At 44.6% G+C, this 17194-nt stretch overlaps 1 protein-coding gene and 1 long non-coding RNA gene across 5 annotated transcripts in view, besides 1 other annotated feature; one reads left to right on the top strand and one right to left on the bottom strand.

Annotated features, from left to right (window-relative positions):
* The window catches only part of TRPC7-AS2 (TRPC7 antisense RNA 2), an 89446-nt gene extending 74821 nt beyond the window's left edge, over positions 1-14625 (top strand). Inside the window, exons 2-4 of the long non-coding RNA NR_133682.1 lie at positions 2282-2383; positions 12676-12901; positions 14248-14625. This is a non-coding gene — a long non-coding RNA (TRPC7 antisense RNA 2). The remainder of the gene's footprint in view (positions 1-2281; positions 2384-12675; positions 12902-14247) is intronic.
* TRPC7 (transient receptor potential cation channel subfamily C member 7) overlaps positions 1-17194 on the bottom strand; it is a 152801-nt gene that overhangs the window by 88731 nt on the left and 46876 nt on the right. For 2 of the 4 annotated variants that reach the window (NM_001376901.1, NM_020389.3), the window contains exon 3: positions 14122-14304. The exons of the other annotated variants lie outside the window; for them this stretch is intronic. In NM_001376901.1, the coding sequence (NP_001363830.1) occupies positions 14122-14304 (183 nt within the window). The remainder of the gene's footprint in view (positions 1-14121; positions 14305-17194) is intronic. 4 annotated transcript variants of the gene reach the window in all.
* Positions 8712-8801: an enhancer, noted in NCBI's record as "active region_23180". NCBI's record gives its function as "activates an Ori minimal core promoter by ATAC-STARR-seq in GM12878 lymphoblastoid cells {active_cell/tissue: GM12878}" and the evidence as "EXISTENCE:reporter gene assay evidence [ECO:0000049][PMID:35858748]".

Below are 17194 nucleotides of genomic sequence, written 5' to 3' on the forward strand. Positions count from 1 at the left end.
ATAATCTTAACTGATGACATTCCACCATTGTGATTTGTTTCTGCCCCACCCTAACTGATCAATGTACTTTGTAATCTCCCCCACCCTTAAGAAGGTACTTTGTAATCTCCCCAACTCTTAAGAAGGTTCTTTGTAATTCTTCCCACCCTTGAGAATGTACTTTGTGAGATCCACCCCTGCCCGCAAAACATTGCTCTTAACTTCACCGCCTATCCCAAAACCTATAAGAACTAATGATAATCCACCACCCTTCACTGACTCTCTTTTCGGACTCAGCCTGCCTGCACCCAGGTGAAATAAACAGCCATGTTGTTCACACAAAGCCTGTTTGGTGGTCTCTTCACACGGACACGCATGAAATTTGGTGCCGTGACTCGGATCGGGGGACCTCCCTTGGGAGATCAATCCCCCGTCTTCCTGCTCTTTGCTCCATGAGAAAGATCCACCTACGACCTCAGGTCCTCACACCGACCAGCCCAAGAAACATCTCACCAATTTCAAATCCAGTAAGCGGCCTCTTTTTACTCTTCTCCAACCTCCCTCACTATCCCTCAACCTCTTTCTCCTTTCAGTCTTGGTACCACACTTCAATCTCACCCTTCTCTTAATTTCAATTCCTTTCATTTTCTGGTAGAGACAAAGGAGACATGTTTTATCTGTGGACCCAAAACTCCTGCACCAGTCACGGACTGGGAAGGCAGCCTTCCCTTGGTGTTTAATCATTGCAGGGACACCTCTCTGATTATTCACCATTTCAAAGGTGTCAGACCACGCAGGGACGCCTGCCTTGGTCCTTCACCCTTAGCGGCAAGTCCCACTTTTCTGGGGGAGGGGAAAGTACCCCTCAATCCCTTCTTCACCCTTAGGGGCAAGTCCCGCTTTTCTGGGGGAGGGGCAAGTATCCCTCAACCCCTTCTTCACCCTTAGCGGCAAGTCCCGCTTTTCTAGGGGACAAGAACCCCCAATCCCTTATTTCCATGCCCCGACCCCTTTCCCACTTTTCTGGAGGGTAAGAACCCCTGAACCCCTTCCCTCCATGTCTCTATGCTCTCTTTTCTCTGGGCTGGCCTCCTTCACTATGGGCAACCTTGCACCCTCCATTCCTCCTTCTTCTCCCTTAGCCTGTGTTCTTAAGAACTTAAAACCTCTTCAACTCTCACCTGACCTAAAATCTAAGCATCTTATTTTCTTCTGCAATGCTGCTTGACACCAAAACAAACTCGACAGTAGTTCCAAATAGCTGGAAAATGGCACTTTCAATGTTTCCATCCTACAAGAACTAAATAATTCTTTTCGTAAAATGGGCAAATGGTCTGAGGTGCCTGACGTCCAGGCATTCTTTTACACATCAGTCCCTTCCTAGTCTCTGTGCCCAATGAAACTCATCCCAAATCTTCCTTCTTTCCCTCCCACATGTCCCCTCAGTCCCAACCCCAAGCGTCACTGAGTCTTTCTAATCTTCCCTTTCTACAGACCTATCTGACCTCTCCCCTCCTAGCCAGGCCGAGCTAGGTCCTAATTCTTCCTCAGCCTCCGCTCCTCCACCCTATAATCCTTTTATCACCTCCCCTCCTCACACCCGGTCTGGCTTACAGTTTCATTCCGTGACTAGCCCTCCCCCACCTGCCCAGCAATTTACTCGAAAAGGTGGCTGGAGCTAAAGGCATAGTCAAGGTTAATGCTCCTTTTTCTTTATCCCAAATCAGATAGCTTCTAGGCTCTTTTTCATCAAATATAAAAATTCAGCCCAGTTCATGGCTCATTTGGCAGCAACCCTGAGACACTTTACAGCCCTAGACCCTAAAAGGTCAAAAGGCCGTCTTATTCTCAAAATACATTTTATTACCCAATCTGCTCCTGACATTAAATAAAACTCCAAAAATTAAATTCCGGCCCTCAAACCCCACAACAGGACTTAGTTAACCTCACCTTCAAGGTGTACAATAATAGAGTAGAGGCAGCCAAGTAGCAATGTATTTCTGAGTTGCAATTCCTTGCCTCCACTGTGAGACAAACCCCAGCCACAACTTCAGCACACAAAAAATTCCAAATGCCTGAACTGCAGTGGCCAGGCATTCCTCCAGAACCTCCTCCCCCAGGAGCTTGCTACAAGTGCCAAAAATCTGGCCACCGAGCCAAGGAATGCCCACAGCCCGGGATTCCTCCTAAGCCGTGTCCCATCTGTGTGGGACCCCACTGAAAATCAGACTGTTCAACTCACCTGGTAGCCACTTCCAGAGCCCCTGGAACTCTGGCCCAAGGCTCTCTGACTCCTTCCCAGATCTTCTCGGCTTAGCGGCTGAAGACTGACACTGCCAGATCGCCTCGGAAGCCCCCTAGACCATCACGGATGCCGAGCTTCGGGTAACTCTCACAGTGGAGGGTAAGTCCGTCCCCTTCTTAGTCAATACGGAGGCTACCCATGCCACGTTACCTTCTTTTCAAGAGCCTGTTTCCCTTGCCTCCATAACTGCTGTGGGTATTGACGTCCAGGCTCCTAAACCTCTTAAAACTCCCCAACTCTGGTGCCAACTTAGACAATACTCTTTTAAGCACTCCTTTTTAGTTATCCCCACCTGCCCAGTTCCCTTATTAGGCTGAGACACTTTAACTAAATTATCTGCTTCCCTGACTATTCCTGGACTACAGCTGCATCTCATTGCTGCCCTTCTTCCCAATCCAAAGCATCCTTTGTGTCCTCCTCTTGTATCCCCTCACCTTAGCCCACAAGTATAAGATACCTCTACTCCCTCCTTGGGGACCGATCATGCACCCCTTACCATCTCATTAAAACCTAATCACCCTTACCCCGCTCAATGCCAAGATCCCATCCCACAGCACTCTTTAAAAGGATTAAAGCCTGTTATCACTCGCCTGCTACAGCATGACCTTCTAAAGCCTATAAACTCTCCTTACCATTCCCCCATTTTACCTGTCCTAAAACGAGATAAGGCTTACAAGTTAGTTCAGAATCTGCGCCTTATCAACCAAATTGTTTTGCCTGTCCACCCCGTGGTGCCAAACCCATATACTCTGCTATCCTCAATACCTCCCTCTACTACCCATTATTCTGTTCTGGATCTCAAACATGCTTTCTTTACTATTCCTTTGCACCCTTCATCCCAGCCTCTCTTTGCTTTCACTTAGACTGACCCTGACACCCATTAGGCTCAGCAAATTACCTGGGCTATACTGCTGCAAGGCTTCACAGACAGCCCCCATTACTTCAGTCAAGCCCAAATTTCATCCTCATCTGTTACCTATCTCGGCATAATTCTCATAAAAACACACGTGCTCTCCCTGCTAATCATGTCCAATTAACCTTCCAAACCTCAATCCCTTACAAAACAACAACTCCTTTCCTTCCTAGGCATGGTTAGTGTAGTCAGAATTCTTACACAAGAGCCAGGACCGTACCCTGTAGCCTTTCTGTCCAAACAACTTGACCTTACTGTTTTAGCCTAGCCCTCATGTCTGCGTACAGCAGCTGCCGCTGCTTTAATACTTTTAGAGGCCCTAAAAATCACAAACTATGCTCAACTCACTCTCTACATTTCTCATAACTTCCAAAATCTGTTTTCTTCCTCATACCTGACGCATATACTTTCTGCTCCCCGGCTCCTTCAGCTGTACTCACTCTTTGTTAAGTCCCACAATTACCATTGTTCTTGGCCCGGACTTCAATCTGGCTTCCCATATTATTCCTGATACCACACCTGACCCCCATGACTGTATCTCTCTGATCCACCTGATATTCACCCCATTTCCCCATATTTCCTTCTTTCCTGTTCCTCACCCTGATCACGCTTGATTTATTGATGGCAGTTCCACCAGGCCTAATCGCCACACACCAGCAAAGGCAGGCTATGCTATAGTACAAGCCACTAGCCCACCTCTCAGAACCTCTCATTTCCTTTCCATTGTGGAAATCTATCCTCAAGGAAATAACTTCTCAGTGTTCCATCTGCTATTCTACTACTCCTCAGGGATTATTCAGGCCCCCTCCCTTCCCTACACATCAAGCTCGAGGATTTTCCCCCACCCAGGACTGGCAAATTAGCTTTACTCAACATGCCCCAACTCAGCAAACTAAAATACCTCTTAGTCTAAATAGACACTTTCACTGAATAAGTAAAGGCCTTTCCTACAGGGTCTGAGAAGGCCACGGCAGTCATTTCTTCCCTTCTGTCAGACATAATTCCTCAGTTTAGCCTTCCCACCTCTATACAGTCTGATAACAGACCAGCCTTTATTAGTCAAATCAGCCAAGCAGTTTTTCAGGCTCTTAGTATTCCGTGAAACCTTTATATCCCTTACAGTCCTCCATCTTCAAGAAATGTAGAACAGACTAAAGGTCTTTTAAAAACACACCTCACCAAGCACAGCCACCAACTTAAAAAGGACTGGACAATACTTTTACCACTTTCCCTTCTCAGAAGTCAGACCTGTCCTTGGAATGCTACAAGGTACAGCCCGTTTGAGCTCCTTTTTATTAGGCCCCAGTCTCATTCCAGACACCGGACCAACTTAGACTGTGCCCCAAAAAAACTTGTCATCCCTACTATTTTCTGTCTAGTCATACTCCTATTCTCCATTCTCAACTACTTATACATGCCCTGCTCTTGTTTACACTGCCGGTTTACACTGTTTCTCCAAGCCATCACAGCTGATATCTCCTGGTGCTATCCCCAACCTGCCACTCTTAACTCTTGAAGTAAATAAATAATCTTTGCTGGCAGGACTATGCTGAATCTCCTTAGGCACTCTCTAATCATATGTCCTAGGTCCTCCTAATTCTTAGACCTTTTCCATTTAGTTTTTCAATTCATACAAAACCATATCCAGGCCATCACCAATAATTCTTCAAGACAAATTTTTCTTCTAACAACCCCACAATATCACCCTTTACCACAAAATCTTCATTCAGCTTAATCTCTCCCACTTTAGTTGCCCATGCCACCTAATCCCGCTTGAAGCAGCCCTGAGAAACATCGCCCATTCTCTCTCCATACCACCCCCCAAAAATTTTTGCCACCCCAAGACTTCAACACTATTTTATTTTTCTTATTAATATAAGAAAGCAGGAATGTCAGGCCTCTGAACCCAAGCCAAGCCATCGCATCCCCTGTGACTTGCACATATACATCCAGATGGCCTGAAGTAACTGAAGATCCACAAAAGAGGTAAAAATAATATTAACTGATGACATTCCACCATTGTGATTTGTTTCTGCCCCACCCTAACTGATCAATGTACTTTGTAATCTCCCCCACCCTTAAGAGGGTGCTTTGTAATCTCCCCCACCCTTAAGAAGTTTCTTTGTAATTCTCCCCACCCTTGAGAATGTACTTTGTGAGATCCACCCCTGCCCGCAAAACATTGTTCTTAACTTCACCGCCTATCCCAAAACCTATAAGAACTAATGATAATCCACCACCCTTCGCTGACTCTCTTTTCGGATTCAGCCTGCCTGCACCCAGGTGAAATAAACAGCCATGTTGCTCACACAAAGCCTGTTTGGTGGTCTCTTCACACGGACATGCATGAAAATAGTTGTATGTATTTATGGGGTACAATGGATGTTTTGATATATGTATACAATATGTTATGATTAAATCAAATTAATTAACATATTTATCACCTTGCTTACCTATCATTTCTATGGTGAGACATGAAAATTTACTTTCTTACTTATTTTGAAATATATAATACATTTTTATTTATTATAGTTACCATGTTGTGCAATAAATCTCAAAATCTATTCCTTCTGTCTCTCTGAAACTTTGTACTCTTTGATTGACAACTCCCCATTCCCTCCCTCCCCACCTCCTCAGCCCCTGGTAACTGTGATTCTACTCTCTACTTCCATGAGTTCAACTTTACTAGATTCCATAGATAAGTGAGATCATGTGGTATTTGTCTTTCTGAGGCTGAGGCACTGGTGCTTTTTTTGGTTTGTTTTATGCAAAGCACCCAAGTGGCTTCATTAATCAGTTAAGTTTTGGAACCCCTGGTCTAGAGCAATACAACACATCCTTGGATAACTATAATCCTTGCATTCAGGGGCTGACAGTTAAGAGGTTATAGCCTGGATCCTGAAAACAGCCAAGAGGTTCTCAACAGGGAATTATTTCTCCCCCTCCCCCTTCCTCCAAGGACATTAGAGACAGTGTCTGGAGACGTTTTTGGTTAACGCAAGCTGGGGGTAGGGTGCTACTGGATAGAGTCCAGGTATGCTGCTAAACAGCCTATAATGCACGGGGGAGTCCTCACAGCAAGGAACTCTCTGGCCCAAAGTGTTAAGGTGTCGGGCTTGAGAAATGTTGACTTAGCCTTAAGTGTAATTCTGCTTAGAAATCAGTATGGCAAACAGTTTCCATTGGCTACTTTGTTATGCACCTACCATGTTCTAGGTACATTGCATGTGTTCTAAACATTAACTATTATTTATTAGACACTGTAATTTGTTTGTATTTTATGGATGAGAAAATCAAGGCCCAGAAGACAAATAACTTGTCTAAACCAGATGACTAGCAAGTGAAGAACTTGGGACTTGAACACGCACAGTCGGGCTCCTGGACACGACACTATACTGCTGCCCCACAAGTTCTATTTTCCTTCTCCTGGGAGTTTTTCCAGGCAGAAAAGGGATCACAATCCATATTTACATATATACATGCTGGAATTCTTCTTTCTCTTCGGAAGATTTGCTTCTTGAGAAAACAAAACTTCCTCATGTAAAAGCCCTTCTGAGCCAGGAGATTAATGGATATTGATCACTTTTGTGGCATGTGGCCAGGCGAGATCCACGGAAGTGCTTAGAGGAATTCCCAAAGAGGAAGATGATTGATGCTTTTGACACCAATGGATTCCAACAGTGTTTGCCAACTACCAGGCATCCTGCAGTGCAGTTTGGGGTAGTGCCTGACCAGCCAGACTGTGTCTGTGACAACTCTGATCTTCTTAAGTCTGAGCATCTGTTAAAACGATGCCTCAGCAGGAAAACACAGTAGGAGAATGTCTGCTCAGGGCATGTGAGTGTCTGACTGGCCTCTCAGACATCCTCTAGAAAGCCCTGATGTCCCCAGGTCCCCTTTGCTCACTGGCCCTGCCTGTGCTTTGTGCAGACAGAGGAAATGAAACAGAGCCCAGCAGAGGGCATCTGCCCTCTCTTGAGTGTTCCTACCCATGGTCACTGCACTAGGGAGAGGATGTCAGCCAGTTGTGCAGCTACGGCTGGCATTGTTCTCTCTCTGAGCACATATTTAGGCCAGAAGGCCCTTTAGGATTGGAGCAGTGTCCACTGTGTCTGTGAGCTCCCTGCAGGCCAGCAGACTGAGAAACTTATTTTATGTCCCATATCAGCAGGCGGAGGACTTGAGCAGTCAGGCTCCCAGCCATAATACTATACTGCTACCTGACAAGTTCTATTAATAGTTTCATCTGCTAGGAGTTTTTCCAGGTAGAAAAATGGGCCCATTCATGGCATGACTGTAAAATGTGCACAAGGTGGTCATTTTTGGAATAGAAGGAGGCAAGGGACTTCTGATAGAGTAAGAGGTGCTGGCCCAACTGTAGAGCTAGGGGCAATGTGGGTTGAAATGGTCCCCCATCCCCTCCTCTCTAAGCCTGCCCTTTTCTCCTTGGCATTCTGCTCTGAGGGTAACTTTCCAAGTGCTGTGCCCTGTGGGCACATTTTGTGTGCTCCCAGCCCATGTCTATGAAAGAATCTTGAAGTTGATGGCAGGGAACTGAGGTTTATGGAGGACACTGACTTTCTGTGTTACCATCATTTGTGGAGATCTTTCACTTTTATTAAAAATGCAGTCTATTGCCAAAGAATTTCAATCCCCAGTCTTGGCAGGACTATCAGACCTACTGCTCAGCTCCCTCTCCCATCTCCCACATAATTTTTCCCATTTTTTTACTTTCTTCAGGCTGCTTCTACCTCAGAGGGTGATTCTTTTTCCTGTTGACAGAGAAGTTGAAGCTATCAATACGAATTCCCTCAACTTTTCTCCTGTGGTAATCATTAGTGCTAGCTGCCAAATAGCGCCGGGATTATGCTTTCTGGTCCTTCTTGTGAAGGGGTGGGAGGCATGACTAACTCTTCACTATAAGTGGCGAGCAGAAACAATGTGTGACACATCCAGGTGAAAGCACACAATTGCTGGAGTGCAATTTCCCAAAGCCGAGTGACCCTCTGGCATGCAGGAAACATTTAAGAGGGTGGTTCTTCTATCAGCCGGGATTCCTGAGGGAATTCAGTTCCAAATGGAAATAAGATGAGCAATAAATAAACTTACTTTTGTTAAAAGCCACTATGACTTTAGTTTTGTTTGTTAACACAATGTAACAGCCTATCTTGGCTAATATCCTGTCCCTTTCACACAAAAAACTTGCTCCATCTTCACCCCTCCTGTTTCCTTTCCAGCTTTTTCAGAGGAAGAGCTGTCTCTCCATCTATCCTAATCTTTACAACCACTCCTGATTAAGGTCCTTCAATGGCTCCCCATTGTTCTTTAGAAAAATAATAAAAAGATTAAAATCCTTAGGGAGATCTACCAGGCTCACATGGTCTGTCCCCTGCCTGCATCCTTACAGACTCAGTCACACCCAGTCCTCCCAAGGCCCAGCTTGGCCCGTTCACCCTCTTTCAGTTCCTCTTATACACCATGTCTCTTCTCACCACAGGGCTTTCAAACATGCTTTGAACATGTCCTTTCTATCAGAAATGCCCTCCCCACCTCAGAGGGAACCTCTGAAGTTCCAGGGTTTTGTTCACTTTCCTCATTTTTTAGCTTTAAGAGCAAACATGAACTTTTCAGTGAGTGAATGAATAAAAATCATAGGGGAATTTTTTTTAAAAATACAACAGTGTGAAGGAAAAGGGAACTATGTAAGTGAGGGAGAGCGAGTGGGTCCTCTCCACCCTCTGCACTTTGTTCCCTTCCCATGGTCCTGTCCCAGGTCTTTATTGTACTTGAGACTAGCTTTCTGAGCCAGGAATAACCCAGGGAGCCTGGCAGAGCCAGGAAAAGTCACCTCAACATTTCAGGGTCTGGAAGGCTCAGGAGGAGTGGAGCTGGCTCTTGAGGAGGGTGGAGATCTCCTCAGTTGGAAGGAAAGATGGCTGGCACCAAGAGCAGAGGCCCCCAAACCAAGCTGCATCCCAAGATGCTAGAACTGGGACCACCTGCACATCTGAAAGAGGTCACAGGTGTGAACGCTACTTTGCTCAGCTGGTGAAGTACTTAAGAGACTTCCCCCACCCCACTGCAAAGGCTGCTGCTATTACAGTTATGAGACACCTGTCCCATTTCACTCACTAGACTGGTAACTCTTTGAAGGTATGACTGTGTTTTATTCTGCTTGGGTCCTTGGAAGGCCGAGCTCAGTGTCTCTAGACCTCATAGGTGGTGGTTAACACAATTTGTCAGATGGAACTAATCACCCTTGCTGGTGATACAGCCATGCCTGCCTGATAATATATGTGCTTTCTGCCATGAAGTAATATATTTTGGAAAACAATATTCACACATTTTTCTTTTTTCCCCCAGTAGCAGGCCTTTGCTTAGTAGTGTCCAAAAGATGCTCCATCTCCTTTATAGGTAGAGTTAAGGCCTCTCTCATGCAAAACCGGACTCTCTGGGTCTCTTTGTCCCACTCTCCTAGAGGACTGATATGCACAAAGTTTTCTTGCAGTGACTGGGAGATCCCACCTGATCCTCATTAAGGCAGAGTGGGGTCAGGAAGGAGGAGGGAATGGTGTAGGGGAAAGAAGGGAAAAGATCATCCCTGTAAGCCCAGAGATGAGGAAGCAATCTAGAGGAGAGAGAGGGATGGATGAGAGTGTGTCTTCTGTTAGACAAGTTGAGTAGAGTGCCAACAACTCTGTCTGGGTCTCTGTTCCCTGTCACTAAGCACTGACCACATGGCAGACACTGGGGTCCCTTCATAACTGCAGCCTGAGTCCAGCTGGGCCTAAACTGGGATTCAGAGGCTGGTTGGGTTGGTTCCCAGTTGTTGGGGCTGGAAGTTTCCTCAGCATGTGTTTAGAGTTGATATGCAGTGGAAGGAAAAGGCCTTTAAGAAGGATAGTTAGGCATGATTCCCAGAGGACAGAGACAGAGTTAGAGAAGATTGCAAGGTGTTTGGCTCTGCAGGGGAAGGCCAAGGCCAGTTTATGTAGAGAGGCTGCAAGCCGATGCTGGAGGGGTGGTTTTCTTTAGCTGCAGAGCATAAGCAGAGTCCTTCTGATCTTAGGTGTGACTCAATATGGGGAAGAGTCGTATCCCTGATTTTTCATGAGGCAAGCTTGGCTTCTTCAGGGACTGTGGCCTAGAGGGGCTGGGATGCACTGAGGTGGGTAAGAGAAATGTCCTAAAGTAATGTAGGCATTGACTGTGAGCAATGTGTGTGTTAATACTGCCTCATTTATACCCATCGGCTACTGAAGCCTGGAGATATTTGAGGCACAAATGCTTTATCCCATTTAATTTTCATTATAACCTATGACATAGGCATTATTATTCCAACTTTCCTGATGAGGAAAGTGAGACAGAGGCAAGGCTGAGTAATTTGCTCAAGTGACCACATTAATAAGTGTTTGGACCTGGGACTGACTTCAATAGGCACCTCTCAGCTACATCTCCAATTCTGCTTCCCAGAAACCCTGCTTGACATTTCGAAGACACACCCACTTGGGTTACTGGGGAGGCTGAGCGCCCTCTTAAGGCAGAAGTCACGGGGGTAAAACCATGTCCTCATAACGCCTTTGGTATTTTGGAAGGAATTTTAGGCTTTATGAATGATGTCTTTTCCCAGGGAGACATTTCTAGCATTCTCTGGGGAGATAACAAAGGACCAGCTAGGGAATTAGAAGAACCCTAGAGTCCCAAGAAAGGGAGTCATCACTGAATGACAGCAATGATGCTTCCTTTTGGAGCTGCAGAGAACTTTATAGTTTCTAGAGCATTTCCTCTCATATCAGTTCATTTGGAAGTTCACACACACACACAAAAAAAAACCTCTGTGAAGCAAAAGCTCATATGTCCATTCTGCAAATGGGGAATGAAACTCAGAGAGCTTCAATGACTTGCCCAAGACCACAGGGTTAGGAGAATCAGGCTAGAAACCTGGTCAACAGAAACCCAGTTCAGGATTCCTTCCCTTTAACAGGTACTCCCTTGAACCATGGTGGGTGACTTATCTTCATCTAATGGAGGCTGGTGCTGTGACTCAGCCAGCCAGAGGTCCAGACATTAGGGTGGTGCCTGAAGATAATCAAACATTCATATGAGAGACATGATCCAGAGTGCAGTACCAGCCACAGAGCAGCACCACCTTCATTCAAATCCTGGCATTTCATAGACATAGAGGCTGATTATAGATTAGTTTCCCGAAGACTGATACATGAAAAACTAGTTTCACCATGAGAAGAAGCCTGTGGTCATGTAATACATATTGTATCCTTTATCTATTAGAGTAGTGATTCTTTTTTTTTTTTTTTTTTTTTTTTAATAGAGACAGGGTCTTGCTATGTCCCCCAGGCTGGTCTCAAACTCTTGGCATCAAGCAATCCTCCTGTCTCAGCTTCTCATAGTGTTGGCATTACAGGCATAAGCCACTGCGTGATGCATATTGAAGGCTCTGTAATATCTTTAAGAAAAACAGAAAACAAAAACAAAAGCTGTTTGACTGTTTAACTAAAGGTTTCCAAATTTATCTGAGCACAAAATCTTTTTTTTAAGGTAATACTTATTAGCAGCCCATGGAACTGCTAAGACCAACTTGTTTTCTTAAGTCGCTGAATTAATGGGTTGATTTTATGCCATGTGGGCAGAATCTTGGAAATGTTTTATAGTTTTATATTCAAGCCTGAAGCCTCAGGAGATGTCTGTCTATCTATCTATCTATCTATCTATCTATCTATCTATCTATCTGTCTATCAAGTTGTAAAGGGCAGTGCATTTAAGTAGGTCTTGCTGCTAGTTATTTCATAACTTGAATACTCAGGGATAGATTGTGCTCATGCAAGTATGCTAAAATTCATAAATTAAAAATGGAAGCCCATTGTAATATTAATAAGACTTTTAAATATTGGTTAGTTTCCTGGTAATTCATGAAGAATAAATGTCAAGGAGAGCTATGAGTCTGTCTGCTGTCGCATGATGGCATACAAGGTTTGAGAAAATGTATCCCTTGAAGGTCTTAGAAATGAGCAGGTTGACATTTTATGCAGGTCATTTATCATCTTCCTACCTATGGATTACAGCAGACACTTGACATTCATGTTGATTTCCTGAGACCTTATGACTCCCTTAATTGGCAAATACCACTGGAGCCAATCATTTCCCTCATGAAACATTTTAATTCTGATCCAAACTATCATGTTCATGGAGGGCTTCATTTCTTCCTTCTCATTCATCCCCAGGGCCATTTTGAACTTGGTAATTGACAAAAGAGGACATATAGTTATCAGGTGGGGGCCAGACTTCTGCACTAACTGAGTAACTCCAGCCTCCATGTCAGTTTTGCTAGGAGATTTGAATTTATGTTTCAGAAAAATGGTGAATGCCCACATGCCATGGACTGTTGAAGTTGTGCATAATTAGCCCAAACTGTGAATATAAATCTGCAAATGCCAAGCATCTTCTTTTGTGTGGTTTTTAGACAACTTCCATCTTCACCATGAGCTGGGAGGCAGGAGGATAATCTGGCTTCAGGAAGGAAGAAAATGTTTGTAGTTCTGGGAACTCCAGCTCATTTTTACCACTGCCTGACAGCCTCCACAGCAGGGTTTGTTTGAACCCCAAGGGAAAGGATATCTCAGCAGCTTCAGGGAGTGACTGCGTACTTTGGTGAAAAGCCCCAGCGAGCTCTTGGTTTAAGCTAAAAGGTGAGTTTTCCTGAGCTGAGTAAATAGTATTGTACTGTACTTGAAACTGCAGCCTGATTCTCCCAACTTCCAACAACACTGTGCTTTCTAATATTAATCTCAAAGGCCACCTTTCCCATGAGTCATCAATTTCATCTTTGAGCTCAGAGTCTTAGGCAAAGTTGTTTTTCTTAAAATTTGTGATTATTATAATATCAAAGTAAAAGGGCAGGAAGATTTTATCAAACTTGGAAACTCTCCCTGGATAAATTTCACAGATATATATATGGTTGTTGAAGGCACAAATTAAGACACACACAAATTAAGATAATCAGGAAACAGAAGGAATACCCAGAGGCCAGTCTGGGGGCTTTAAAAATACCATTCAGTTTTGATCAGGTGAAAAAGCTTAAAACATTAAAACCCCTCAAAGACCAAACAGCTCCTTTGCTTATGTGGAAAGCACATTGATATTTAAACATGTGGATCTCTGGAATGCTTTAATTTTCATCAGGATGAGTAATGTCATCTAATAAAAGAGCAGATTCTAAAGCATCCAGAGTAGATCCAAAGTGGGAACATAATTTACTTTTGCTCCTTATAATCTTAATCTGAGTAGCCACTACAGGTCTGAGGGCTACTGGTGACCACAGCCATTAAAGACACTTGGATGTCTATTGAGGAGGTGGCATGAGTTTACTTTTGGGAAAGTCTACTTGAGCTTCCTTAGGGCTTTCATATGCCTTTGGAGTGCAATTCTTCTATAAGCCTCCCAGGGCTGTTGATCCCATAAGCTCTTTACATTAATACATTTTCTACACAACTAGTCCTCAGGCACACAGAGGAAGCTCAATAAATGCTTTTGAAAGATCTGAGTTTTATGTTTCTCGAGAAGACTTGGGAACTGTGTTGCTAACTGATAGGAGCCCTCGCGGTGACATTGTCCCTGCCAGTGGGTTGAGGCTGAAGATGTCTTCTGCTGTCCAGGCTCAAGGCCTGCTCAGGAACTGACTCATGCTTCTGCTCTCTCTCCTGGTGGGCTGGGGGCTGAGGTGGGAAGGGATGGTGGAGGGGATCCTAGCAGCCCTGTGAAGCTGACAGCTAGCTCCCTGTCTAAAGAGAATCTGGGTGTCATCATGGTCACCCTGTGGGAACATAAAATAGACATGAGCAAAAAGCAAGGCCAGCAGCCCCGAGAAGAGAGGTGAGATGGGAAGACCAGGAGAGATGGGGGAGCTTACCTTCTTGACTTCATATTTAATGGCGAGTTTGATCCGGCTCAGACTTGGACGGTGGTGGTCGGACCAGACTTGGAAGTTCACATCACCGTTTAAAATTGCTTCCACCTCTTCTGTGTCTCGGCACAGGTCCAGCACGCCCACTACAAAATCCTTGCATTGCATAGATAACTTCCTGTAATCGTTCTAACAGAATAGAGAGAAATCAGCGGTATGTCACATGGAGGCCCGCAGATTGGCTTGCCCAGCATAGCAGTGTCGATCAGCAACTGCTCACCACATGTGACCTTATGGAGCACATTGGATGCACTTATGGAACGCAGCAGGATGTGCTGGGTGCAGAAGGCGGGGCAATTTCTCTTGACACGTGACCTGAAGGACATTTTCTCTAGGTCAGCATGTGTGAAGGTGTGGTCCATGGGCCACCTGCATCAGAGTCACCTTAGCTGCGTGCTAAAGTTGCAGATTCCCAGGTCCCACCCTAGACTTACTGAGTCAGAATACCTGGTGGTGGGGCCAAGAAATCTGTCTTTTAACTTTGCTCTCTAATGATGTGGATGCCTGCCACAGCCCATCCTGGGCTCTTTCAAAATGGCATTTTTCTATGCCCAATTCTGAGTCAGTTCTGAGGGAGGAATAATAAGGACATGAACTTTTAGGGCTGATGTAAATAACACTTCGCTCATTTACCACTGATCTATATTGGTGACTGCTGCACACAGGAATTTTACTGGAAAGATGGATAATATGCTAAAATTGGAAAAAAAAATTGCACAGGTGTGCTTTTTTGTGTGCCAGAAAATCGGCTTGTAAATTATACATTTAAAAATCAAATGTAATTTAACTTTAACAGGATCTTTTCTTCCTAGAAATCCTTTTGTATGGCAAATCATGGCTCCTTAAATCACCTGCCTGTTGAATAAACATTTTTAGCCCTTGACCTTGTTGTTGTTGTTTCGTATTTTTAATGAGCTGCTTCCAGATTTCTCTCTTCCTTTCCCTAGGTATACCTGTCTGAATGTCTTTGAGAGGCTAACTTCCTTTCCTAGTGACATGTCAACTTCTCTTTCCCCTAAACAAACTGCTTAAGTTCTAGATAATGATCCAAAATGTTGGACAAAGAATGTTTGAGGTTACCTCATACCTCTCCTCCCCAAAAATATTTTCCCTCAGAGGCCTCCTTGCTGGTTTCTTAGTTGAAAAGAGTCTATTCAGAAAGTACACAAGAGCCAAATGTCACTTTCAATGTTAATCAATGTCAACAACCCTCAGACTGCTAGATAGTAGTTGGTAAAGAGGACTGTGGTTGTGCTTTTCCAGAACATGGATTTTTCAGCCAATAGTTGGAAGCCTGGCAAACTGCAGAAGCTCAGCCATTTTTCTGAGTTAATGATTCTTATCTCCTTCCAGGGTTGCTGTATCAAAATGTCACTTTGCATTAGAGAAAGAGGTAAGTAACTGCTTGTTTGCTGGGAAAAGGGAAAAGATCAAGAAAATATTTTCAGGTGAGAGTAGCTGTCCTTCATTTTTATATATAATTTAGGTAGAAGAAGGGAGTTTCAGAAATTCTGGGTGGAAAAATGACCTCTCGGCTCAGGCGTGTAAGAAACTTTTGGGGTTCTAGGTTTTGGTATCTAGCACAGAGCTGGCCTGAAGTGTTAGGATTGGAAGAGCCATGCTCTACACTCCTCCAACCCTAACACTCACCCATCTGCCATTCACTCATTCATTCATTCATCACTGAGAACCTACTATGTAGCGGACAATGAAAAATTAGTGGTGAACAAGGCAAGTCTCTGAGTAGTGTGAGGGAAGAGGAGGGGCTTGAGTTCCACCCTCAGATTTGCACAAGGCTAAGTGAAACTTGCTCAGATCTTTTCCTGGCTAATATATTCTGCATAGCACTGGTAAGCCAGAGGTAGGAGGCTCAAGGTACACTGGGCTCAGCAACATGGACAAGGTGAATCACCTCACCACATGGACCCATTCAACTCTGGCATCTCCTCTGTGGCAACTCAGGTTCCTTAAATTTCTGGCCCCAACCCCGTAACTTTATTACCCCTTTTCTGAGAACAAGGAATCTCTGGATGTTAATGCCTGTTACCAGTAAAACAGACACTGCCCTGTTGGCTAGAACATACCTCATTTCTTGATGGAAACTCCTGCCTAGAGCTGAAGTCATGGGTGGGTATAGGAGAGAAAGTGAAAAGGACTTGATCCAGCTCTTGTCCCAGGCTCCCCATGCTAGGAGCTAGTCAGGCTGTATTGCCCAGAGCTTCCTCACATATCTGGGTTCAGTGCAGTTCAGAACAGAAGGTGACACTTCATTAGAGACTGTCACTTCCCTGGGCTCTTTCAGCCAGCCTGCCATCAATAGGAGAGGCAACAGAGCAGCCAAAGCAGGTAATTTGCATTTTTCCTTCTGCATTAGACACTTGGGCTGGAAGGCAATAAGCGTTCTGCTGTCTGCAGTTGGCTAGAGGGGATAGAGAGAACCCAGGCCTGCGAGGAAGAAGATGACAGGTACATGAATGGAAGCAGAGAGGGCCATTGATGAACATCTCTTGGGAATTGTGATGATTATAAGTCATTGAGCCAAACCTGAGCTCAATTAGCCTTCCAAGACACACTCCTCACTGTAATTGGAAGGAGATGACATACACCCTCCAGACTTCATAGGTGCCCTTTACATTTTATTTTAAATATTCCTGAACACTGAGGTCTGCCAGATCTAATGGGTGACAGGTGCTCTACCTGCATTATCTCATTCAGTCCTTATAAAAACGCCACAATGGAAGGCTGATCACCATTCCCAACTTCCAGATGAGTAAAGTGAGACCAGAGAGATAAAGTAACAGGCAGATCTACGCTCTTCCTTATATCTGCCACTGATCTCTAGGTCCCTCTCTCACCTTCCTTGGATATTTAGCCTGTCTCACATCAGTCTCCCAACATGACTGCATTGTTATTCTTGATGGTTTCACTATCTTGGAAGATGACCCTCACATTCCCTGCCCTTTCATTTCCTTGACAGCCCATTTTCTGATGACCTAATTCCCAACTCAAACTCAGCCAT

This window comes from Homo sapiens, chromosome 5 (genome assembly GCF_000001405.40).
Source record: "Homo sapiens chromosome 5, GRCh38.p14 Primary Assembly".
Taxonomy (NCBI): Eukaryota; Metazoa; Chordata; class Mammalia; order Primates; family Hominidae; genus Homo; species Homo sapiens.